Source organism: Homo sapiens, chromosome 4 (genome assembly GCF_000001405.40).
Source record: "Homo sapiens chromosome 4, GRCh38.p14 Primary Assembly".
Taxonomy (NCBI): domain Eukaryota; kingdom Metazoa; phylum Chordata; class Mammalia; order Primates; family Hominidae; genus Homo; species Homo sapiens.
This window is the reverse complement of record NC_000004.12, coordinates 128636460-128663097: the sequence shown is the minus strand read 5'-3', so window position 1 is coordinate 128663097 and position 26638 is coordinate 128636460. Positions and strand designations below refer to the sequence as shown.

At 42.7% G+C, this 26638-nt stretch overlaps 4 annotated features.

Annotated features, from left to right (window-relative positions):
• Positions 10037-10536: an enhancer, noted in NCBI's record as "H3K27ac hESC enhancer chr4:129573717-129574216 (GRCh37/hg19 assembly coordinates)". NCBI's record gives its function as "activates a minimal SCP1, AML or CMV promoter by ChIP-STARR-seq in primed H9 embryonic stem cells {active_cell/tissue: H9 hESC(primed)}" and the evidence as "EXISTENCE:reporter gene assay evidence [ECO:0000049][PMID:30033119]".
• Positions 14487-15225: an enhancer, noted in NCBI's record as "NANOG-H3K27ac hESC enhancer chr4:129569028-129569766 (GRCh37/hg19 assembly coordinates)". NCBI's record gives its function as "activates a minimal SCP1, AML or CMV promoter by ChIP-STARR-seq in primed H9 embryonic stem cells {active_cell/tissue: H9 hESC(primed)}" and the evidence as "EXISTENCE:reporter gene assay evidence [ECO:0000049][PMID:30033119]".
• Positions 18405-18904: an enhancer, noted in NCBI's record as "H3K27ac hESC enhancer chr4:129565349-129565848 (GRCh37/hg19 assembly coordinates)". NCBI's record gives its function as "activates a minimal SCP1, AML or CMV promoter by ChIP-STARR-seq in naive H9 embryonic stem cells {active_cell/tissue: H9 hESC(naive)}" and the evidence as "EXISTENCE:reporter gene assay evidence [ECO:0000049][PMID:30033119]".
• Positions 22989-23489: an enhancer, noted in NCBI's record as "H3K4me1 hESC enhancer chr4:129560764-129561264 (GRCh37/hg19 assembly coordinates)". NCBI's record gives its function as "activates a minimal SCP1, AML or CMV promoter by ChIP-STARR-seq in primed H9 embryonic stem cells {active_cell/tissue: H9 hESC(primed)}" and the evidence as "EXISTENCE:reporter gene assay evidence [ECO:0000049][PMID:30033119]".

The following is a 26638-nucleotide window of genomic DNA, read 5'->3' as shown; positions in this document are numbered from 1 at the left end:
AACCCACTAAGTTTTGAGGTGGTTAGTTATGTAGCGTAAAGTAATTATAATAAACAAAAATTCATCTGTCACAGATTTCATCAGTGGGATCCAGCCCAACCAGAAATAAGCCCATCGCAGTAGTAGAAACCAGCAAGGATCCAGAGAACAAACAACCGTTGAGTCTGAGGCCCTCTCTCCTCTACCTTCATGTACCCATGCACTATTTTGAGAAGGAGCAGCAGGAGGGGAAGAAAGAAGTTAGAAAAGCTGGTGTGGTAGGCAGAGTCATGACCTCCAAATATGTCCACATCCTAATACCTATAACCTGTGAAAAATTACCATACGGGATAAAGGGCAATTAAAATTGCTGATGGAAAGCCAAGCACAGTGACTCTTGCCTGTAATCCCACTGTGGGAGGCTGAAGTGGGAGGATCTCTTAAGCCCAGGAGTTTAGGATCAGCCTGGGCAACATGGTGAAACCCTGTCTCTACAAAAAATTAGCCAGGTACCACTGTACTCCAGCCTGGGTGATACAAAGAGACCCTGTCTCAAAAAAAAAAAAAAAAAAAAAAGGTAATTGATGGAGTTAAGATTGCTAATCAGCTGACTTTAAAATAAGGAGACTAACCTGGATTGTCCGGGTAGACTCAGTATAATCACAAGAGTCCTTAAATGTGGAAGAGTCCGTTCAGAGAGGAGAGATGTGAGAACTCTACACACTGTTGCTGGTTTTGAAGATGCAGGAAAGGACCATAAACCAAGGAATATGAGGGGCCTCTGGAATCTGGACAGTGCACAGAAATGGATTATCCCCTAGAGCCTCCAGAAAGAGACATAGCCCTGCTGACATCTGATTTTAGCCTAAAGAGACCCATTTTGGACTTCTGAACTATAGAAGGATAAGATAATAAATTCATGTTGTTTCAAGCCACTAAGTATGTGTGCTTTTTTGTTTTTGTTTTTGTTTTTTTTTTGCAACAACAGAAAACTAAAAGAGGTAAATTGTAAGTGATTAGATGATTGCTCCAATTAAGACTATCTTAAGATAGAAAAGACTGAGATGGCTTTAAATAGCAATTTTAGGAGTTTTTCTTCATAGCACCCAGTGTGGGAAGGCCAGAGAGTTAAGATTAGATCTTTCATGGGAAACAAAAATTTACTTTTTTGATTTTCACACTCTTGAGTATAGTGAGTTAAATTTGGGACCTGTTGGACATTTGTTCTGAAACTTGATTTTCTGTTAAAACAAACTGTCCTTGGAAGAGTCACACATTAAACTTTTCAGAATGAATGAGTTTATCTGATTGCTTCTGAACACGGGGCTTGAGTGAGGGGAGAATGGAGGAAATAGTCAAGCCTTGAGCATCCAGATTCCTGGGGTGGGGAGGAGTGGGGAGGAGGTAACGAGGCCAGGTAATTCCCAACTCCAAGGATGTGGCAGACATCATTGCTGTCCTTGAGCAGAGCTGTTATCAGTCCCACACAACGCCTCTCTTTACGAACAGTCTCAGAGGCACCATAAACTCTGCATCATGTGGCACTGAGTGCAGGTAGGAGTTCATTATGCCCAACAGCGAGACCAATCGCTTCATGTTACCTAGGGCCCTCACATTCTCATTGTTTTTTTCCACTGCATTTCAGATACCTGTGGTTTCAGCCCTGTAATTGGAACATCACATTTCATCATTGGTCTCTGGTTCTCCAAAGTAAAGGCTTTTTGAACCAAAAGTTAAAATATCAGCTTCCCGTGATCATTATCATCAATTATTATTCTTCACTCTTGAGGTGATACTTAACCATACAATGTTAGAAACACCATTGAATAAGTACTAATGAAATACTTCATAATAATACCACATCATTATTGTAATGATTACCAGGGATTTGTCATTCCTAAGACACACAAATATTTGGGGTATTTCAAGGCAACTACACAGGTCCTTGGATGCTCTTGAGTTCACTCTTAATTGTTTAGAATAGGGAGTGAGGGAGAAAGCTGGGGTAAGGAGGGGAGGGAAGCAAATCAGAGTTAGGTGATTGCTAAAGTCCCTGGGAGGCACAAGAGTGTGAGCTCAGGCATGAGACTACATAAACGCGGTCAAAGTCACTCTAACATTCTGTGACTCTGGGAGGTTACTTACCTCTCTGTCTATATAAGAAAAAAGGTGGGTGCAGTAAGAACAGTGCCTGCATCATAAGACTGATGTGATGATTACATAAGTTAATTCATATAAACACTCTGTTCTAAGTAGAAAGCCAATGCTTGATGAATATTAGTCATTTTTATACAGAACCCCAAAGTTGAGAAATCAACTCTTTCACAAGAACACAGATATTTTCCTCACTTACTGCATTTTACTAACTTCAAGATCAATGTTTCATTCACTTTGATTCCTTCCTCACGTGAGCTTGGTGTCCAGTTCCCTGCATATCTGGAGTCCTTGGAAACTTCTGAGAAGATTGATGCTGTTTCCAGGTTCCCTTATCAGGCCTCTGTTTCTGTTTCCCAACTGCTGCCTTTCCCCATGTGGTTCCAATACCAAAATATTTAGTCCATCTGTCCCAGAGGGTTTGGACTTTCTCTTCATTTGTGCTTCTTGAAATAATATGCTCCTGAGGCACAGACTGTTCCTTCATCACTAAAAAAGGTCAAGCATTTATTAGTCTGTGTATAAACATGACAACAAAGGAGTCCTTGTAAAAATGGAATGTTCAGCTTGGATAGAACACAGAGTAGTTCCTCTTGAATCTGGCAACTTCCCTTGGTTTTCATATCCTTTAAGTACACCATGTTAATATCACTGTTTCTTTCTTGAATTCCCAAGCCTTCCTTATAAATCCCCACGAACCCTTTGAGGTGCAAGTTTATTCATTTATAGAGCCTATAAGTACAATTTCTTTTTCAATTCAAACACATTAACAGGTTGTTCAGATAAACCAATTCTTTTTTTTTTTCTTTTTTTTGAGACAGGGTCTCACTCTGTCACCTAGGCTGGAGTACAGTGGCACGATCATGGCTGACTGCAGGCTTCACCTCCTGAGCTCAAGCAATCTTCCTGGCTCAGCCTCTTGAGTAGTTGGGACTACAGGCACGCACCACCACACCTGGCTATATATATATTTTTTATTTTTAGTAGAGACAAGGTCTCACTATGTGCCCCAGGCTAGTTTCAAACGTCTGATCTCCAGCGATCCTCCTGCCATGGCCCTCCAAAGTGCTGGGATTACAGGTGTAAGCCACCACACCCGACCCAGATAAACCAATTCTAATACTATGGATGGAAGGTGTACACTCCTGTGTGTTACACAACTACTTATCATAATAAAGGAAAATGACTTTGCTTTGCCACCAGCTGCCATTTCACACAGATGTGGCTCTGATCCCCTTGAGCAGCAACTCCTGGAAGCCCAAATTCTGGTTCATTTTCTTCTTGCTCTTCAGATGACACTAACCAAACACAGAGCTCTATCACCATGGTTTTCCCATTCCTCATGGAAGCCAACCACTGTCTGCATTAGCCTGTTCCCTTCTTAAGCCTGATCCTTTTAGACATTATATATCATCTATCTTTGTAAAACATAGCTTCTGTTTCAGAACTAGTAACACAGTCTGGGTTTAAAAAAGTTTTCATACTTCCATGTTGTCTCTATAAGCTGTTGTGAGACTTCAATGTACATAGGGCCCATTAAAACCAGTTTTTTCAATCCGCATTCCTTTTCATGCTAAGAATGTCTCAATATGGGAGCATTCTCTTTTTTTTTTTTTTTTTTTTTTTTGTCTTTTGAGACAGAGTCTCGCTCTGTCGCCAGGCTGGAGTGCAGTGGCATGGTCTTGGCTCACTGCAACCTACCAAAGTGCTGGGATTACAGGCATGAGTCACCGCGCCCGGCCAGGAGCATTCTACATGATCAATAGTGTTGTTGGTGTTCTTGTCCTTTTTATTTATTTATTTTTTTGAGAAGGAGTCTCGCTCTGTTGCCCAGGCGGGAGTGCAGTGGCACGATCTCGGCTCAGTGCAGCCTCCATCTCCCAGGTTCAGGTGATTCTCCTGCCTCAGTGCTCACTACCACCCCCGCTCCCCACCCCCCATCCAGTAGCTGCAATTACAGGTGCGCACCACCATGCCTAGCTAATTTTTGTATTTTGGAGATGGGGTTTCTCCATGTTGGTCAGACTGGTCTCAAACTCCTGGCCTCAGGTGATCCGCCCGCCTCGGCCTCCTAAAGTGCTGGGATTACAGGCATGAGCCACCGTACCCAGCCTGGTCTTCTTGTTCTTGTTCTTTTTGTTCTTGTTTTGGCTCTCTCTTCCTCCTTTTCCTGCCCCACTCCTCTTCTTCCCCCTTCTCTTCCCCCTTCTCCCCTCCTTCTCCCTTCTCCCCTCCTTCTCCCTTCTCCCCCTTCCCCTTTTCCTTCTCCCTGTTCTATTTTTCTTCTTCTTAACCTGACTTGCCTTTTTGTCCAGAGCTGGCCAGGAAAGCAATGAGGCTTGGAAAAAGATCCACAACATGTTGGCTCACTAAATACTTACTTTACCGCTATGAATTTCTCTGGTGTATGGCAGGAAGTCACGTGGTAGTATATTTTTAACTTGATGTCAACTTGTATTATTTTGTAAATACATAAGTGAATATCAGCCCTGAAATTTAGTGGCCTATCCTTCTCACAGGAAGTACAAAGTACATTTCATTCAAGTGAATGAAACAAACATCTGCTTTCAGGGCTGGCCCCAACTTACTTTTCTAGTTTCTTCAACCATATGCCCCTTGACTTCCCCAACACACACACGCGCACACACACCCCACCACTACACAGCACACACACACTGCTGTTGGCACATCATATTTTTCCCTTTCCTCTGAGCTTAGGACAGTTTTTGAGCTCCAATTAGGGGAATGAATGAATGAAATGAGCTGTGCAATCACGCCCTGCTTTTCTGGTCATCTTTTCCCTGCCTTTTGGACTATCTCCCTTCCCACTACCCCATTTTTATGGAGGAAGTTTCTATTCATCTTTCAAGGCCCAGTTTGCTGCTGTCTCTTCTTCAATCCTCACTCAGGATTACTCTCTTCTCCTCCTTCTACTTACAGGGTTTTCCTTCTTCAATATCACTCCTGCTCTGCCTTTGTTTGCCTTTTTTTGTTTGCTTTTCCTCTTCTCTCCTTACAGTAAAAGTTTCTTCATGGTAGAAAATGTCTTTTTCATTTCTGTATCTCCCAGTCGAGCACAATGGCTGCCATAAGATAAGCGCTGAGATGTTTAATGTCTACTGGTAATTGAGCTCAGAGAGGATGACTTTCAAATTCCAGGCATACAGTACAGTGGAAAGTGTCTAATACCCAAGAAACAGGATGCACAGTGGGAGTTTACATATGGGCACTCCAATGTAGATACCCTGTAGTCACTCGAATCTATGGGTCTGGAGCTGAGGCGAGATCAAGACTAGATATATAGAGTCAGGAGTTACCAGTGTAGCAGTGAGAATTAAAACCAGGGGAGTGGGTACAGAGTGAGAATTGAGGAGGGCTGAAGAAAGTCAACGTTTAAGGGTGGACAATGGATGGGACCCAGCAGTGGACTCTGAGAAGGAGTGGTTTGAGAGGTGAACAAAAAGAGAGTAAAGTCATACAAGCTAGGGGAGGAGTCAAGTTCAAGAAGGATGGTGGTGACTAGGGTTAACTGCTACAGTACTAGGGCAGCTGCTAGATAGAGGTGCAAGGTCAATATAGGCTTTTCAAAGGAGGGAAGTGTTGCTTTTCTTTCAAAGGTTCTTATTTTCAAGGTTGAATCAAATATTTGATAATTAAAACCTTAGGGGTCTAGGAGCTATAGGAACCAAACTCTCAGACAATTATAAACCTCATCAAATCTCACCAGGAAAACTATATTCTAATCTGGATTTCCCTGCTTCTCCCTATAAAAGGCATTACAGGAATATGACAGAAATTTTGTTCACAGCCTGTGACTACCTTAGAGTAATTGAGGATCTTTAAACCATATGTCCTCCGTAGCTGGTGAAGCCTTGTCTTCTTGTGGGGTCACTGGGAAAGGGTTCCTAAAGAAAGCCTTTGAGAGTGTGAAGAATATCATTAATCACCACTGAGCCTCCAAGAGTAAGAGAAAAGTAGCACTTAAAGGCAAAAGATGCCTCGAGATAGGCATTTTAATTTTTTGCCATGATAACAATCGTTATCACAATTTAATTTATATTTATTTGCATTTGCATTATTTAAATTGAAAGAAAATATGACCTTCTTTCTGAAATAGATTAAATTAGTATCAGTACAGAAATGACTACGTAATATTTTTCTTTTCTTATTTTATTTTTGGAGTAGAGAAGCAACCCATCTATCCATTCTTTCATCTGGTTTTTCATACACCTATCCATCTATCCATATATCTATCTGTCTGTCTGTCTCCCCAAATCATTTTAAGTCCCCCTTATGAGCTTTATGTATTCTGTAAGACCCTAAACCTGTAAAAACGAGCAGGACCAGATCAACATAGTCACCATTCATTATATATGAATTTGATCTAAAACATCATTCAAATTAAGTCAGGGATAAGGAGATCATTTAAAGATAAAACCTAAAGATATGCCTTAGGAGGCATCTCTGTACTTCTTCAGTGTACTAATGCTCGCTGGCATTATTGCTATCACTGATAAATGTCAAAGGGGAGAGTGATATTTTTGGAGTTGATTTTTTTACCCTATTACAAAAATAGATTATAAACACACATATGTCACAGAAAGAACTTAAGCTAATATTTCTATATAGGGACAAGCATTAGCATATTTTTAAAGTTCACAGTTACATTTCTGTTGTCAGTTATAATCGTCTCTTGGTTTGAACTCATTATTTTAAGATAGCTATCAAAAATCTATTGGTATAATGTAATCTGCTTAAATTTCACAAGTGTGTGAAAATTTTACAGTCAAAGAGTTCCTAAAGGAAGCTGTGTAATTCAATATTTTCATATAACCATCTTCATAAAGGCACAGAGCTGACTTAAACCAACAAAGGATAGTCCCTAATAACAACAACATAAAGCTATAATTGAACTCAAATTCATGAATATTTTATTTTTAGATAGTTATTTTCCACTCGGACATTAGTCTAAATCAGTATTTAGTTACAATTTACACTAAGCATATGCTTTGGAGGAAGACCATAGATAAAAAGCAAAGTATAAATGAGTCAAAGTTACCCATATCATCATGACACTCTACCACAGGTCCCTTTGCTCCTCTTAGAAGGCAGCTTAGTACCTCCAAGGTTGGAGAAGGCACTAGGTTTATCTGGATTTCTGCTCAGAGAAGTGAATGATACAATGTTTTACATGAGAATCTTGGAGAAAGCTAAGATTTCTCCAACCTTAGAGGGGATTCCCTTTCTAGAAGCCCCTTGCTTGCTGTGTTGGCAGTTGGAATGCCATATTATACAATATACTCGCTTTATTTAGTCAAGGAGACTGTTGAGGCAGTGTCAAACAGCAGGTACAAGAGCTGCAGGAGCTCTTATTATTCATCACAGTTTGGCAGCCTGATGGGTAAAGACAAGTATTGGTGGGATACTCAGGTCACAAACTTCTTTTTCCCACTGCACTTGCAGGGTATGCATTAGTCAGCTCTGCTACTGTAACAAGCAACCCCAAAATCTCAGTTACAACTACAAATACTTATCCTGGATCTGGAATAAAGAAGACAGGTGCATCAAAACTGGCTTTATGTCTTCTTCATTCCAGATCCAGGCTGAAAGAGCAGTCCATTTTGGGGTATGCCATTCCTATGACAGAGAGAAAACAGCAAGAGAGCTGGTGGAATACAATCACTCTTAAAGATTTGGCACAGATGAGGCATAGTCAAGGTCACCCACAAGGCCTAGTCACTCACGTGCCCAAGCCTGACATCAAAGGTGCAGAAATTGTAGACTCTCCCATAGGAGGTACTCCAAGAGAAGGAGAATAGGGTCTGGAGGCAGGGAACCTAAGGCTGATTTACCCTGACTTCCTAGAACTAAATCAAAAGGAAAAGCCTGACTTTCCACACCCAAGTAACAAAAGGATGAGAGGCTACTGCCTTTGCAACCCCCTTCCCCGCTTTTCCACATGGTAGATGAAAAATTGAAAGTACCTCTGATTGGTCCCCCCTCACAACCAATCAGACTGATCTTGGGCCAAGTCTTCGTTTGCATAGGAGTATAACTCTATAACTTCATTTCAGCCTCTGATTGGTCACTTTCCACAACCAATCAGACGTTTGCATAGGTTGCAACTTTGTAACTTAACTTCAGCCTCTGATTGATTGTTTTCCTTAACCAATTGGGCTGATCGTGGGCCACTACTTCATTTACACAGGATGTACACCAAATAACCAATGAAAAACCTCTAGAGGGTATTTAAATCCCAGAAAATTCTGTAACCAGAGCTCTTGAGCTGCTTGCTCGAGCCTGCTCCCACTCTGTGGAGTGTACTTTCATTTCAATAAATCTGTGCTTCTCTTTTGTTGCTTTGTTTGTGCATTTTTGTCCAATTCTTTGTTCAAAATGCCAAGAACCTGGATACCCTTCACCAGTCACACAAGTCTGTGTAATCTGTCAGAATGGGGAGTGAGTTGCTGGAAACAAAAACACAATCTATGTTCCTTGCTGCAGCCCCTACCCAGTTCTCCAGCCTATTCCTTCAAGCCCCTCCTCTTCAATGCCAGCTCAAGGAGGGTAGTTTGGAGAGCTCCATGGTGAAGGACTGTGCCCAAGAAGTGGGGCTGCAGCAGCTGTTGTTGCCATTCATCCCTGCTTTGTTCTCAGCGGCCTCTAAGTGCAGAAGGCGGAATAAATTGGCAAGAACTGAAGATGAGTTGGAAGGCAAACAAGAGAACTGAGAGCTTTCTCATTAACTAAAGGGGTCATTGAGATAATGCTTGAGGCAAGAGGCAGAGTGACCTTTAGGTACTTGGCTGGAGGGCTGTCCTGAGAGAATGGAATGAAGCTCACCCCTTAAAGCCATCATCCCCTTCAATTAATATTTACTGAGCACTACTAAGACACTGACCCTGTACTCAGAACTGTAAGCTTTCCTGGGTTGGAAAAGGCTCTGACTAATTTGCACATTAAAAAGCACACAGACAGAGGAACCCACCTTTTTTTCCCTTTCCCAGTCACCCTGGGAGAGACCGTCTTCTCTTCTTCATTCATGTGTGGAATCCCAATTAAGCGTAGTAAACAAAGGAAACTTCTTACATTGTGATTTTCCTCCCTCTTCCCTTGTTTTATTTGCAGTCTGGATTTATTGCTCAAGAATTACCTCCTTTAAGCATCATCCCCTATTAGCCAGAGAGATAAAAGCCATAAAGGGAAGGGAACTCCTTCAGTTCTCTTTGCCAGTTGTGAGACAGAGCAGCTGCGTTTACAAGGGGAGTTGACATCTGTTGACTGAGCCGAGCCTGTCCTGCCCCAGCACTGTGCTCATGCTTGGAATGCAAACTGCAGCTATCAGAGACAGCGCCGGGGTTTAATAACTGCTTGAGCCCAGAGCAAATCTACTTGGGCACTAGAAAAGAAATTGTATAGTTTTAAAGCAGATGTATGCTCTTAACGTGGTTGGCTTGTAAAGCAATAAAACTTGGGGTTTTTCCCCCCTTAGCCTATCACAACTCTTAGAATAAACAGTGTACTTAAGACAGGGCGATTCTATCACAATTCCATGTAATATTTAGTCCATATAACAAGATAAAATTTGAATTAGCATCACATATAGAAGGCATTTCATTTTCTCACATACAGTACAATATTAAGCGCAAACAACATATGTCTCCATGGTTATAAACAACAGCGTCATGTTTGCAAAACAGATCCTATATGTAGAACGTCTGTAAATGGGAGAAAATATGGGGCTTTTGTTGGTTAAAATGATGTTAAATATTTCAAGTCGCATGATCTTTATAAGAAACATTTTCAGGGGCCAGGCGCGGTGGCTCACGCCTGTAATCCCAGCACTTTGGGAGGCCGAGGCGGGTGGATCACGAGATCAGGAGATTGAGACCAGCCTGACCAACCCTGATGGGGTTTAGTAGTGAAACCCCATCTCTACTAAAAATACAAAAAACTAGCTGGGTATGGTGGTGCATGCCTGTAATTCCAGCTACTCGGGAAGCTGAGGCAGGAGAATCACTTGAACCCGGGAGGCAAGGGTTGCGGTAAGCCGAGGTCGCTCCACTGCATTCCAGCCTGGGCAACAAGAGCTCTTTCTCTGTGACCTTGAAAAAATCAACTGGTCTGAGCCTCCATTTCTTCACCTGCCAGAATAAGGATGTTGGGCTAGATCAAGGTTTCTTTAGGTGTATTGTGAGGAACATTATTTCTGAGGAAATTAATGGGAGTAATTTTTTAAAAATTATTTTTGGCTGGGCACGGTGGCTCATGCCTCTAATCCAAGCACTTTGGGAGGCCAAAGTGGGTGGATCTCCTGAGGTCAGGAGCTCGAGACCAACCTGGCCAACATGGCAAAACCCCACCCCGTCTCAACTAAAAATACAAAAATTAGCCAGGCGTGGTAGTGGGTGCCTGTAGTCCCAGCTACTCGGGAGACTGAGGCAGGAGAATCTCATGAACCCGGGAGGCGGAGGTTGCAGTGAGCTGAGATCGCGCCACTGCACTCCAGACTCCAAACGGAGTCTTGCTCTGTTATATTTGGAGGGTACAATGCAGATTTCTTACATGCGCACATAGCATACTGTCGGAGTCTGAGCTTTTAGTGTAACTGTCACCCAAATAGTGAATGTAGTACCCAATAGGTACATTTTCAACCCTCACCCCCCTCCTGCCCTCCCACCTTTTGGAGTTTCCAGTGTCGATTATTCCACTCTGTAGGTATGTATGTATGGACATGTGTATTCAAGGAGTAATATTTTTAAAAAGGCATTCCATGGTCAAATAAGTTTAGGAATTGTGACATTAAACAAAATTAAACATATTTCTTTATTCAGAAATTTAGTGTGCTAATAATATTCACCACGATGCTCCAAGAGGGAGGCAGAGTATGCATTTCCCTTATTTATTTTACCAAAAGCTTTTTCTTGTAAAACGGTTCTCAGAACTAGTCCACACACTGGACTTTAAAGACCCTTTAACTTATGACATTCTATGATTCTATTGCCTTTTTATTCTGCTTATCTTTCCAATTTTTCTCACCTATTTCAGGAAAAGACCTACTTGGGCTTTTGAATTCATTCAGAAGGTGAAGTTTAGTTTGTTCCTCATTTCTTTCATCCTTTATTCTTTTTTCTCCTACAAATTTTTTATTTTGAAAAACTTTAAGCCCTCAGAAAAGTTGGAAGAATAGTACAATACGTATATATTCTTCACTTAAATTCAACAATTGTTAACATATTGCCTCAGTTGCTTTCTGTCTCACTCTCTCTACCCATGTGCCTAGACACACATATACATTATATATATATTCTATGTATAATTTTATTGCTGAACTATTTGAAAATAAATTTCAGACATCATGACACTTCATCATTAAATACTTAAAAATGTATCTTCTAAGAACAAGGAAAATTTCCTGGGTAACCTCAAAACCACTACTGCATCTGAGAAATTGAACATTGATTAATATCATCTAATGTATACTCTGTGTTTAAATTTCCCCAATTGACTCTAAAATATCTTTATTTTAGAGTCCATTTAGGGTCCATTAGCTACTCAGCCTCCCGAGTAGCTGGGACTACAGGCGCCCACCACCATGCCAGGCTAATTTTTTGTATTTTTAGTAGAGATGGGGTTTCACCGTGTTAGCCAGGATGGTCTGGATCTCCTGATGTCGTGATCCGCCTGCCTCAGCCTCCCAAAGTGCTGGGATTACAGGCGTAAGCCACCGCGCCTGGCCTCATGACATTTATTTATTTTTATTTTTGAAAAGCCCAGGTCATTTATTTTGTAGAAAGCCTAAGATTTTTAATTTTATGACTGTATGGTTTTTTCCTCATAATTATATTTAGTTCACATATTTTTGGCAGAATATTAATATGTGATATTTTTGTGTACTTCACATCGCACCATAACAGGGGCATGTCATGTCACTTTGTCTCATTATTGGTGGTATTTTGGGTAACAGCTAGGTTAAAATGTTATTTCCTGTAATTCTCTATTGTAAACGTGGGGCCAGGCGTGGTGGTAGACGCCTATAATCCTAGCACTATGGGAGGCCAAGGCAGCAGATCGCTTGGGCCCAGGAGTTTGAGACCAGCCTAGGCAACATGGCCAATCCCACCTCTACAGAAAATGCCAAAACTGAGGTGGGAGGATCACCTGAGCCTGGGGAAGTCGAGGCTGCTGTAAGCCGTGATCACACCACTGCACTCCAGCCTGGGCAACAGAGTGAGACCCCCATCTCAAAAATAAAATAAAATAAAATAAAATAAAATAAAATAAAATAAAATAAAATAAAATAAAGGTATCTTTTCCCCTTGGCAATTAACAAGTGATCTGACAGTTGATGTTTTAAGAATTATGAATAACTTGGTTCCCATCAATTTTTCACCTAATGGCTTTCCCATTTACTGATGATCCTTCCCTGAACAAAATATTACACTGGGAATTGCAAGATAGTGGTTCTTCTAATTCTATCATCCCTGCTTCTTTATTAGCTGTTACTCTTCTGTAAAGTAGAGCTTTTCTTTTGCTCTCCCCTCACATTGAGTATCATAACATATCATAGATTTTTTTTATTAAATGTTTTATCATCTGTTTTGTAATTCATTATTTTAAAATGATTATTCAGGGGCTAGTCTGTGCCAGGTATTGAAGTGAGATTAACCTAATGTTAGTCTCAGTTTCCCTTACCTTTCCTTGCAAATACTTAGGAAACCAGTATCAGTGGGAACATGAACAACTCATCCAAATTCTTGAACTGGTAACTACTTAGCTTCAAAGTTTGTTAGGTGGTAGAAGAAATTGAAGATGAAGATGGGAGTTGAGAAAGGCCCCCAAATTGTAATTATTACTCCCTTTTTATAAACCTTGGTCAGGCTACTGTGGTTACAGCAATCATCAGATGGCCATCTTAATCATCACACAGGAAAGAAAAAAAATCAACTACCATCTCTGTGGAACTATGCTGGGTCTGACTCAGAGGGCAGGGAATCTCAACACCAAAAACTCAGCCTCCCAAGATCCATGGAAAGAGAATCTATGTTTCTATGTTAAGCACAAAATGAGTCTTTTAATGATCACCCAAGGCACTAGGAAGACCTGGGGGAATACGTTTTTATCTTTAACATGTAGTAGATTCTTATGTAAATACCAAAGGACCAAAGTCCCTGGACAAGTCAGGGAGCCTGGGAGCACTTCCCTGGTCTGACACAGGACACAGGTCCCACACCAGCAGTATCCTTACCTCTCCAGGAGAATCTGAATGACAGAGCTGGGAGCCTACTTTCAGTGGAAAGATAAGGGACACTAGTTTCTGGAAAGAACAGACCAACCCATCCTGGTCATATTTTCCAGTGGCAAGTGTATTCTGAGTGTTATGTGGCAGGGGTGGGGGAGGATTTTGCAGTGTAACAAGCCTGGGTACCATGGGACCCTGCTGACTGGCAGAGGTTGGCAAACACATCTAAAGGACGTACATTCTTTTGGACTTGATTTTGTTCCTTTTAGGGAAGTCTCTGCTCCCTTGTGGAGCCTTCCAGCCTCAGAAAAAAGGTACAGTCTGTGTTCCCAAAGTGAAGCAGCAGGCATAACAGACAGAAACTGGCATCTTGCCAGGGGGATCAGTAGTCAGGGGGTGGTGGTGGTACCTGGAGCCTTTGTCACCTCAGTGAGTATACAACTTCAGTGGCTCTGTGAAGTCATGGGGGAAGATCCACCCAGCTGTCAGAGAAACTCCAAAGGGATAAGGGCTCAATGGAAAAAGTCCAGGGTTTTGAGATGAAAAAACTCAGGTTCAAATGCCATTCCCTAAAATTTATGAAACATAAGACAACTTACTTAATACCAGTTCCTTCATCTGTAAAATAGAGATAAAAAATCCCTCACAGATGTGCTGTGAGAATCAAGGTAAAGTAAAGCATGTGCCTACTTTATCGTTAGGATTCCTTTTTTTTTTTTTTTTTTTTTTTTTTGAGATGGAGTCTCACTCTGTTGCTCAGGCTGGAGTGCAGTGGCACGATCTCGGTTCACCAAAACCTCCACCTCCCAGGTTCAAGCGATTCTGCTGCCTCAGCCTCTGAGTAGCTGGGACTACAGGCGCACACCACCATGCCTGGCTAATTTTTTGTATTTTTAGTAGAAACGGGGTTTCTACTAAATCCCGTTTAGTTGGCCAGGCTGGTCTCAAACTCCTGACCTCAAGAGAACCACCCACCTTGGCCTCCCAAAGTGCTGGGATTACAGGCATGAGCCACCCCGCCCAGCCCATTAAGATTCCTTTCATTCCAGGTAACAGAAACCCACCTGAGCCAGTTTAAGAAAAAAAAAGCAAGAGAGATTGAGAGAGAGAATTAATTGTAAGGTTATAGTGATGTCTCATCATTCTTAACATTAGTAATTCAGCTAAGCCTTATAATGAGGCTGGAATCAAAAAATAAAAGGTCATCAGGAGTCATTGTAGCTTTACTTTGTACATCTGGGGTTTTTTCCTCTCCTTGTAAGGTTTGGCTTTCTCTCCTCCAAACCAACAGAGCTGACAGAATTTAGCTACCTAGAGCTCTTGAATGTACATCTTCCAAGACACTAACATAGGGGGAACCAGAATCTCATAATCCCAAGTCCAAAGTCTCACAACAATTTGATTCTTCCCCTTATAACATAGGTTCACTGTGGTCATGAGTGGATGGGGTTGGAACAGTGGGAGGGTGCACTAGGCTCAAGCAGCACACACAGCTGAAAGGCTCGCCCCTGTGTGAGAAGGGGAGCTGCAGGGATTGTTGTGGGCTGGGTAGATGCTCCAGAATGTGCTTTCTTTTTTTTTTTTTTTTTTTTTTTCAGTACAGCTCTTCAAGAATTTATTTATTTATTTTTATTATTTTGTTGTTGTTGTTGTGTCATCTTTTTTTTTATTATTATTATACTTTAAGTTTTAGGGTACATGTGCACAATGTGCCGGTTAGTTACATATGTATACATGTGCCATGCTGGTGCGCTGCACCCACTAACTCGTCATTTAGCATTAGGTATATCTCCTAATGCTATCCCTCCCCCCTCCCCCACCCCACAACAGAACCCCACCCCAGAGTGTGATGCTCCCCTTCCTGTGTCCATGTGTTCTCATTGTTCAGTTCCCATCTATGAGTGAGAATATGCGGTGTTTGGTTTTTTGTCCTTGCGATAGTTTACTGAGAATGATGATTTCCAATTTCATCCATGTCCCTACAAAGGACATGAACTCATCATTTTTTATGGCTGCATAGTATTCCATGGTGTATATGTGCCACATTTTCTTAATCCAGTCTATCATTGTTGGACATTTGGGTTGGTTCCAAGTCTTTGCTATTGTGAATAGTGCTGCAATAAACATACGTGTGCATGTGTCTTTATAGCAGCATGATTTATAGTCCTTTGGGTATATACCCAGTAATGGGATGGCTGGGTCAAATGGTATTTCTAGTTCTAGATCCCTGAGGAATGGCCACACTGACTTCCACAATGGTTGAACTAGTTTACAGTCCCACCAACAGTGTAAAAGTGTTCCTGTTTCTCCACATCCTCTCCAGCACCTGTTGTTTCCTGACTTTTTAATAATTGCCATTCTAAAAATTTTTGCAACCTACTCATCTGACAAAGGGCTAATATCCAGAATCTACAATGAACTCAAACAAATTTACAAGAAAAAAACAAACAACCCCATCAAAAAGTGGGCAAAGGATATGAACAGACACTTCTCAAAAGAAGACATTTATGCAGCCAAAAAACACATGAAAAAATGCTCATCATCACTGGCCATCAGAGAAATGCAAATCAAAACCACAATGAGATACCATCTCACACCAGAATGTGTTTTCTATACGTACCTAGGGCAGTATCTGTCACACAATGAGGGCTTAGTAGGTGTCACTTTCCTTTTTCTTTCCCTCAGACAAGATATGATTAATGTAAGAGCAGAGATGGGGACAACTACCCAGATTTTTCTAGGGGCATCCAGGGCCTCAGGATAAGTGCAATGGAAATCACTGGGATTATTGAGGTGTCTGACACCACCACCACCACTGGGATAAATAAGGTGGGCTGTGTACTTTTATAACTTCCTTGCCCTTCCTAAATTTGGCTTCTTGCTATGTTCTTTGAGACATATCTGATCGCCCTTGGAAAATTCCCTGCTCCTGGTGATATAGTGTCAGAAACAACCCTGCTATGGAGAAAAGTACTCTATGGAAGTAGGGGGTTAGAAGGTCATGGTTAGGGCTAAGAGTCAAAGAAAATACTTAGGAACTCAAGGAATAGAATCCCTACTGGCAAGTAGCTGGCTTTTTCTTATAGCTGTAGACCACATTGCCAAGTGCAGAATGTCAGGCCTCTGAGCCCAAGCTAAGCTATCATATCCCCTGTGACCTGCACGTACACATCCAGATGGCTGGTTCCTACCTTAACTGATGACATTCCACCACAAAAGAAGTGAAAATGGCCTGTTCCTGCCTTAACTGATGACATTGTCTTGTGAAATTCCTTCTCCTGGCTCATCCTGGCTCAAAAACTCCCCTACTGAGCACCTTGTGACTCCCACTCCTGCCCGCCAGAGAATAACCCCCCTTTGACTGTAATTTTCCTTTACCTACCCAAATCTTATAAAACAGCCCCACCCCTATCCCCTTTGCTGACTCTCTCTTCGGACTCAGCCCGCCTGCACCCAGGTGATTAAAAAGCTTTATTGCTCACACAAAGCCTGTTTGGTGGTCTCTTCACACGGACGCGCATGAAATTTGGTGCCATGACTCGGTTCGGGGAACCTCCCTTGGTAGATCAATCCCCTGTCCTCCTGCTCTTTGCTCCGTGAAAAAGATCCACCTACAACCTCGGGTCCTCAGACCCACCAGCCCAAGGAACGTCTCACCAATTTTAAATTGGGTAAGCGGCCTTTTCTTACTCTCTTCTCCAACCTCTCTCACTATCCCTCAACCACTTTCTCCTTTCAATCTTGGTGCCACCCTTCAATCTCTCCCTTCTCTTAATTTCAATTCCTTTCATTTTCTGGTAGAGACAAAGGAGACACGTTTTATCCATGGACCCAAAACTCCAGTGCCGGTTCATGGACTCAGGAAGGCAGCCTTCCCTTGGTGTTTAATCATTGCAGGGACACCTCTCTGATTATTCACCGACGTTTCAGAGGTGTCTGACCACACGGGGCATCTGCCTTGGTCCTTCACCCTTAGCGGCAAGTACCACTTTTCTGGGAGGCAAGAACCCCCCAACTCCTTCTCTCCATGTCTCTACCCTTTCTCCACTTTTCTGGGGCCAAGAACCCCCCAACCCCTTCTCCTTCACCCTTAGCGGCAAGTACTGCTTTTCTAGGGGGCAAGAACCCCCGATCCCTTATTGCCATGCCCCAACCTCTTATCTCTGTGCCCTGATCCCTTATTTCCATGCTCCAACCTCTTATCTCTGTGCTCCGATCCCTTATTTCCATGCCCCGACCTCTTATCTCTGTGTCCCAGCCCCTTATTTCCACGCCTCAACCTCTTATCTCTGTGCCCCAACCCCTTATTTCCATGCCCCGACCCCTTTCCCGCTTTTCTGGAGGGTAAGAACCCCCGAACCCCTTCCCTCCATGTCTCTACTCTCTCTTTTCTCTGGGTTTGCCTCCTTCACTATGGGCAACCTTCCACCCTCCATTCCTCCTTCTTCTCCCTTAGCCTGTGTTCTCAAGAACTTAAAACCTCTTCAACTCACATCTGACCTAAAACCTAAACGCCTTATCTTCTTCTGCAACACCGCTTGGCCCCAGTGCAAACTTGACAATGGCTCTAAATAGTCAGAAAACGGCACTTTCGATTTTTCCATCCTACAAGATCTAGATAATTCTTGTAAAATGGGCAAACGGTCTGAGGTGCCTGACGTCCAGGCATTCTTTTACATATCAGTCCCTCCCTAGTCTCTGTTTCCAATGCAACTCATCCCAAATCTTCCTTCTTTCCCTCCTGCCTGTCCCCTCAGTCCCAGCCCCAAGTGTTGCTGAGTCTTTCTAATCTTCCTTTTCTACAGACCCATCTGACCTCTCCCCTCCTCGCCAGGTGGAGCTAGGTCCCAATTCTTCCTCAGCCTCGGCTCCTCCACCCTATAATCCTTTTATCACCTCCCCTCCTCACACCCGGTCTGGCTTACAGTTTCATTCCGCTTCTAGCCCTCTCCCACCTGCCCAGCAATCTCCTCTTAAAAAGGTGTCTGGAGCTAAAGGCATAGTCAAGGTTAATGCTCCTTTTTCTTTATCCAACTTCTCCCAAATCAGTTAGTGTTTACACTGTTTTTCATCAAATATAAAAAACCCAGCCCAGTTCATGGCTCGTTCGGCAGCAACCCTGAGACGCTTTACAGCCCTAGACCCTAAAAGATCAAAAGGCCGTCTTATTCTCAATATACATTTTATTACCCAATCTGCTCCCAACATTAAATAAAACTCCAAAAATTAAATTCCAGCCCTCAAACCCCACAACAGGACTTAATTAACCTGGCCTTCAAGATGTACAATTCCTTGCCTCCACTGTGAGACAAACCCCAGCCACATCTCCAGCACACAAGAACTTCCAAATGCCTAAACCACAGTGGCCAGGCATTCCTCCAGGCCCACCTCCCCCAGGAGCTTGCTACAAGTGCCAGAAATCTGGCCACCAGGCCAAGGAATGCCTGCAGCCCAGGAATGCCTGCAGCCCAGGATTCCTCCTAAGCCGTGTCCCATCTGTATGCGACCCCACTGGAAATCAGACTGTCCAACTCACCCCCTAGAGCCCCTGGAACTCTGGCCCAAGGCTCTCTGACTCCCTCCCAGATCTTCTTGGCTTAGCGGCTGAAGACTGATGCTGCCTGATAGCCTCGGAAGCCCCCTAGACCTTCACGGATGCCAAGCTTCAGGTAACTCTCACAGTGGAGGGTAAGTCCGTCCCCTTCTTAAATACTACGGAAGCTACCCACTCCACATTACCTTATTTTCAAGGGCCATAACTGTTGTGGGTATTGACGACCAGGCTTCTAAACCTCTTAAAACTCCCCAACTCTGGTGCCAACTTGGAAAACATTCTTTTATGCACTCTTTTTTAGTTATCCCCACCTGCCCAGTTCCCTTATTAGGCCAAGACATTTTAACTAAATTATCTGCTTCCCTGACTATTCCTGGACTACAGCTGCATCTCATTACTGCCCTTCTCCCCAACCCAAAGCCTCCTTTGCATCTTCCTCTCCTATCCCCCCACCTTAACCCACAAGTATAGGACATCTCTACTCCTTCCCTGGCAACTGATCACATGCCCATTACCATCCCATTAAAACCTAATCACCCTTACCCCACTCAACGCCAATATCCCATCCCACAGCATGCTTTAAAAGGATTAAAGCCTGTTATCACTCACCTGCTACAGCATGGGCTTCTAAAACCTATAAACTCCCCTTAAAATTCCCCCATTTCACCTGTCCCAAAACCAGACAAGGCTTACAGGTTAATTCAAGATCTGCGCCTTATCAACCAAATTGCTTTGCCTATCCACCCCAAGGTGCCAAACCCATATACTCTCCTATCCTCAATACCTCCCTCCACAACCCATTATTCTGTTCTGGATCTCAAACATGCTTTCTTTACTATTCCTTTGCACCCTTCATCCCAGCCTCTCTTCGCTTTCACTTGGACTGACCCTGACACCCATCAAGCTCAGCAAATTACCTGGGCTGTACTGCCGCAAGTCTTCACAGACAGCCCCCATTACTTCAATCAAGCCCAAATTTCTTCCTCATCTGTTACCTATCTCGGCATAATTCTCATAAAAACACATGTGCTCTCCCTGCTGATCGTGTCCGGCTTATCTCCCAAACCCCAATCCCTTCTACAAAACAACAACTCCTTTCCTTCCTAGGCATGGTTAGTGCAGTCAGAATTCTTACACAAGAGCCGGGACCACACCCTGTAGCCTTTCTGTCCAAACAACTTGACCTTACTGTTTTAGCCTAGCCCTCATGTCTGCGTGCAGCGGCTGCCACTGCTTTAATACTTTTAGAGGCCCTAAAAATGACAAACTATGCTCAACTCACTCTACAGTTCTCATAACTTCCAAAATCTATTTTCTTCCTCCCACCTGACGCACATATTTTCTGCTCCCCGGCTCCTTCAGCTGTACTCACTCTTTGTTGAGTCTCCCACAATTACCGTTGTTCCTGGCCCAGACTTCAAACCGGCCTCCCACATTATTCTGGATACCACACCTGACCCTCATGACTGCATCTCTCTGATCCACCTGACATTCAACCCATTTCCCTATATTTCCTTCTTTCCTGTTCCTCACCCTGATCACACTTAGTTTATTGATGGCAGTTCCACCAGGCCTAATCGCCACACACCAGCAAAGGCAGGCTACGCTATAGTACAAGCCACTAGCCCGCCTCTTAAAACCTCTCATTTCCTTTCCATCGTGGAAATCTATCCTCAAGGAAATAACTTCTCAGTGTTCCATCTGCTATTCTACTACTTCTCAAGGATTATTCAGGCCCCCTCCCTTCCCTACACATCAAGCTCAAGGATTTGCCCCCACCCAGGACTGGCAAATTAGCTTTACTCAATATGCCCCAAGTCAGATAACTAAAATACCTCTTAGTCTAGGAAGACACTCTTACTGGATAGGTAGAGGCCTTTCCTACAGGGTCTGAGAAGGCCACTGCAGTCATTTCTTCCCTTCTGTCAGACATAATTCCTCGGTTTAGCCTTCCCACCTCTATACAGTCTGATAACAGACCAGCCTTTATTAGTCAAATCAGCCAAGCAGTTTTTCAGGCTCTTGGTATTCAGTGAAACCTTTATATCCCTTACAGTCCTCAGTCTTCAGGAAAAGTAGAACGGACTAAAGGTCTTTTAAAAACACACCTCACCAAGCTCAGCCACCAACTTAAAAAGGACTGGACAATACTTTTACCATTTTCCCTTCTCAGAAGTCAGACCTGTCCTCAGAATGCTACAGGGTACAGCCCATTTGAGCTCCTGTATAGATGCTCCTTTTTATTAGGCCCTGGTCTCATTCCAGACACCAGACCAACTTGGACTGTGCCCCCCAAAACTTGTCATCCCTACTATCTTCTGTCTAGTCATACTCCTATTCACCATTCTCAACTACTCATACATGCTCTGCTCTTGTTTACACTGCCGGTTTACTCTGTTTCTCCAAGTCATCACAGATGATATCTCCTGGTGCTATCCCCAAACTGCCACTCTTAACTCTTAAAGTAAATAAATAATCTTTGCTCCAGGGCTATGCTGAACCTCCTTAGGCACTCTCTAATTAGATGTCCTGGGTCCTCCCAATTCTTAGACCTTTAATACCTGTTTTTCTCTTTCTCTTATTCCGTTTAGTTTTTCAATTCATACAAAACCATATCCAGGCCATCACCAATAATTCTAAATGACAACTGTTTCTTCTAACAACCCCACAATATCACCCCTTACCACAAAACCTTCCTTCAGCTTAATCTCTCCCACTCTAGGTTCCCACGCCGCCCCTAATCCCGCTCGAAGCAGCCCTGAGAAACATCGCCCATTATCTCTCCATACCACCCCCCAAAATTGTCACGGTCCCAACACTTTACCACTATTTCATTTTATTTTTCTTAATATAAGAAGACAGGAATGTCAGGCCTCTGAGCCCAAGCTAAGCCATCATATCCCCTGTGACCTGCACGTACACATCCAGATGGCTGGTTCCTACCTTAACTGATGACATTCCACCACAAAAGAAATGAAAATGGCCTGTTCCTGCCTTAACTGATGACATTGTCTTGTGAAATTCCTTCTCCTGGCTCCTCCTGGCTCAAAAGCTCCCCTACTGAGCACCTTGTGACCCCCACTCCTGCCCGCCAGAGAACAACCCCCCTTTGACTATAATTTTCCTTTACCTACCCAAATCTTATAAAACGGCCTCACCCCTATCTCCCTTTGCTGACTCTCTCTTTGGACTCAGCCCACCTGCGCCCAGGTGATTAAAAGCTTTATTGCTCACACAAAGCCTGTTTGGTGGTCTCTTCACACGGACGCAAGTGAAATAGAAATTATGCGTAAAGCCAACTTTCTTTCTTTCCTTCCTTCTTTCTTGCCCTTCTTTCCTTCTCTCTTTCCATCCTTCTCTCTTTTTTTTTTGAGATGGAGTCTTGCTCTGTCGCCCAGGCTGGGGTGCAGTGGCATGATCTCAGCTCACTGCAAGCTCTGCCTCCAGGGTTCATGCCATTCTCCTGCCTCAGCCTCCCGAGTAGCTGGGACTACAGGCGCCAACCACCACGCCCAGCTAATTTTTTGTATTTTTAGTAGAGGCGGAGTTTCACCGTGTTCGCCAGGATAGTCTCAATCTCCTGACCTCATGATCCACCCGCCTCAGCCTCCCAAAGTGCTGGGATTATAGGCGTGAGCCACTGCACCTGGCCCATCCTTCTTTCTTTCTCCCCTTCTCTCTCTCTCTTTCTCTTTTCTTTCCTTCTGTCCCTTTTTCTTTCTCTCTCTCTTTTTTCTTCCTTTATTTTCTCTCATGCAATAAGTGTTTATTGAGCCAAACATTATACTATTGACAGAGCTACGGAGAAGTGCTTAAGATGTTTTACGTGTTAAACTTTTTCTCCTGGAAAAGCAGAAGACCCAGGCTGGCATGTCAGGAACTCGGGCTCAGCATGACAGCAGAGATGACTGTCCCTTGATTTTAGGAAGGTGATCAAAGTGACACTAGGTGAGGGCAGCCGAGAATTTGAACAAGGTGAAAGCATCCAGTCTGAGGGAGGAGTAAAGAGCATGAATCTGAACCAAAGGATGAAGAGCAGTGAACAAACAAGGCCACAGCAGCAGGCTGAGGCAGGGCCTGGCCGGCTCCCCAGAAGCCACCAGCCAGCCAGGGCAGGAAGCCCTTAGGGAAAGCCCATAAGCCTTGGCCCAGGAGGGATCCCTGAAGGCAATAGACCTTTCAGAGCCAGGGAGGACAAAAAGCAGATTCTGAAACAATCAATGTGCCCCACACCAAATACTTTTCTAGTTGCAAAGATCAGGCCATAAAAGTCATCCTTGGGAATTCTATTTCCTGCTCACTCCCAGCACAACTTGCAAAATAGCAGGCAGAAGAAACTTACATTTTTCTAAATTCACTACTAAGACTAAAGTACTCCCAGGGACTTAGACCAAACATAAGCCCTTTCTTTAAGAAACAACAATTTAAATGTGGTCACTTAACCACAGATTTCTTTACATCACCATTAAAAACAAATTATGTCTGGGTGGTAAAATATGTTGGACTAGTTTCAGGGTTTTCCTAGATTGGCAGCTTAGGTTTGAGGCAGCATTTGTCTTCATATATTGGCATTTGTCCCCACTATGTTTCTCAACCAATTGAAAACCACTGAATCACTGAGAAATATTTAATGGGTAATGAGAATCACTTGAGTGACAAGTCCTATTTGACTAAATAGCCCTGCCATGTCTTTACAATTGATATAAATGCTTTCATATTACATTTACATCTCTTATATCCACTATGGACAAAATAGTATTTCAACAGTGCAAAAATAATGTGGCAGGAAGGCAACCCTGGAGGGTTATAAATATCAAATAAGTCATAACTATAATGATAATATTGGAATTTATCTTCAGAAGATAAAGGTTGAACTTATCAAAAGGCCACAAGTGAACAATAAAGTCTTCCTTATAGAGTACAGATAAATTTGAGATTTTCGATAATCTTGTTAAATTCTCTGTAGTTCCTTATTCTTAATACCATGCCTGAGTTTCAAAACTGCTCACTGCTTTCATAATTGCTGCTTTTTGTTGCTTCTTCCAAATCTGATCTCCAGTAAAACACTAGGATGGCATCTCTTTCTTTTCTCTGCTCCCACTTCTACCTTCCTGAATTCCCTTCTCAACTCCCTTCTCCTCATCACCTCCCAAGCCTCTATACCTAACAGTAGGGCCAAGGACATAAACAAGGAAAAGAAAATGCAAATAAGAGTTAGATATTTAATAACAGAAGAGGAAGAAGCATAGTACACACTTCACCCCTTTTTTCTACCTAAACAAATCTCAAGACTGCCGTTTGCTAGGACTGCCATAACAAAGTACCGTAGACTGGGTGGCTTCATCAACAGAGAAATATTTTCTCCACATTCTGGAGGCTAGAAGTTAGAGACCAAGGTGTCAGCAGGGTTGGTTTCTTCTGAAGCTTCTCTGCTTTGCTTGGAGATGGCTGCTTTCTCCCTGAGTCTTCACCTGCTCTTCTCTCTGTAGCTGCATCCGTCCAAATCTCCTGTTCTCATGAGCACATCGGTCACAATGGGTTAGAACCTATTCTAATAAGCCCATTGTAACTTAATTATCTCCTTAAACATCCTGTTTACAAATATAGTCACTTTCTGAAGTACTGGGGGTGAGTTGGGACTTTAACATGTGAATTTTGGGGAGACACAATTCAGCCCATAACAGCCGCTTTCACATACCTTTACCAAATAGCATTTCTTTGCCATCCATCCTACCCTGATGTTGATTTTCCCTAGCCTTGGTGATCTCTGCCATTATTTTAGTGGCTGATTAAATTTAATTGGCACTTATGCGTACTGTCTTGAGTAGTTTTTAGATGAAAGTTATTCCTCTCCCCAACAAGATCCACGAGCACAGGGCTAGTTTTTAATCCTTCTTGACGTCTAGAACACGATTGAAACATTAGCAGATAGGCTTACAGTGAAACAAAAAAGCAAAACAAGCAAGTCTCTAATGAACTGGAAGAGAAAGTGTCATTCTTTTAGTTGTTGTGTGTGTACATTTTCTCCCTCTGGGAATGGAAGCTCTGTAGAGGCAAGATTGTGCCCTTCTGAAGGAAAAGTAAAGGAATTCATTTAATTTGGCCAGTGAAAGTGAAACCTGGACAATTTTCAAAATCCTTTGCCTTTCCAATATGATTTTTAAGTATAGTGATGAGAAAATTTTGTAAACGTGTCAATTCCAATATTTTCATATATTTGGCCAAGAAGATTTTCTTTATAGGAACTTAGTTAACTTTGGATGATAACCACTAAAAGTAGTAGCAGTAGTAGTCACAGTGATCCTTCTTTGTAGAATAAGATTAGAATGCTGTAGCACAGGTACTGAAAGCAAATCTTGCAAATGATTCAAGCAGGGTTACCATCTACATTTGTGTTGCGTGGTTTGATTTTTCCATTCATAGGGCTACCTCGTCTCTCACATGCCCTTGCTGTCTTTACAAACATGGTGGGGTTTTGTGCCATGACCATGGCTTTGAAAAAGCCATTTGGCTCTTCACATATCCAAACTACATCAGGTCTTTCAGAACTCATTTTACTCATGCCTGAGGATGTGTCCAAAGAGAAGCCTATTCAGTTATAGTCTTTCATTGGCTCGAAAATTCAGTTTCAAACAAGAGGTGAAATTTGTTCCTCTCCTGGCTCTTTAGGGATGTAAGCAAAAATCTACCTTAGTGAAGAAAAATTCTAATTCCTTAGCATAAGAAATAAAAGCCAGGAAATTCCAGAATGGTCAAAATAATGGCTTATGTTATCTTCTGAGACAGCTTCAAAGAGAAATTAACCCTAATTATGACATCCTTGTTGATAAAGAAGGGAATGACAGGTCATGGGAATTGTCATTAAATGCTTTTTGGAGTGTTCATTCTTCAACATTCAGAGATAATAAGAATGATGATGGTGGCAATACTCAAAAGGAATCAGACATTTGCATAGTGTTCAACATGTGAGATGATACCAATTTTGAGAGACACTAGGATGTCATTAAGCAGGTGAGAGGCTATGCCCAGGAATGCTGTCTAATAGCCTCTCATTGTCATTATAATGGATCTATTTGACCATGTGACAAGCGCCTTACTTACATTGCCTAATTGAGTCCTCACAACAATCTGCTTAATGAGGTAGGCATTATTCTCCCTGTTTTACAGATGAGGAAACTGGGGGGTCAAAGAGTTTCTGTGACTTTCCCAAAGTCATGCAGCATATGCAGAAGAGTGACAAGTGCCAACGTGTACAGAGTCTAGGCTGTCAGACCCAATTCACCCAAGATGCATCCATTTAAACCCATGAAATTTGGGTAGGATAAATGTTTGCCAAATTCACAGGCTGGGTTTCTTGAATCCTCTATAATGTTTTTCCTGGCCCAGCTCCTTCCAGAGCGGTCCCTGTTCTCAGTCCCCATCTTCGAAGAGGAAATCGACCTGCCAGAATGACCAAGGGCTTCACCCAAGGGTTTCCACACTGTATTAAATAAGAGAGTCTCCAAACTGCCTGAGAGACAATTACTTACATAGAAAATATATTATATTTTGGTATGAGACAATCTCTCACCTCAAAATATACAGGAATAACCACTGCTTACGGTTGAAAACATTAGGAGGGGGTAGCTTTGGCTTTCAAAAGACTGCAAAACACTTTCCTAGTATCTTCGTCTGGGAAAATAATGGTCTTACTTCATTTCTTTAGGCTT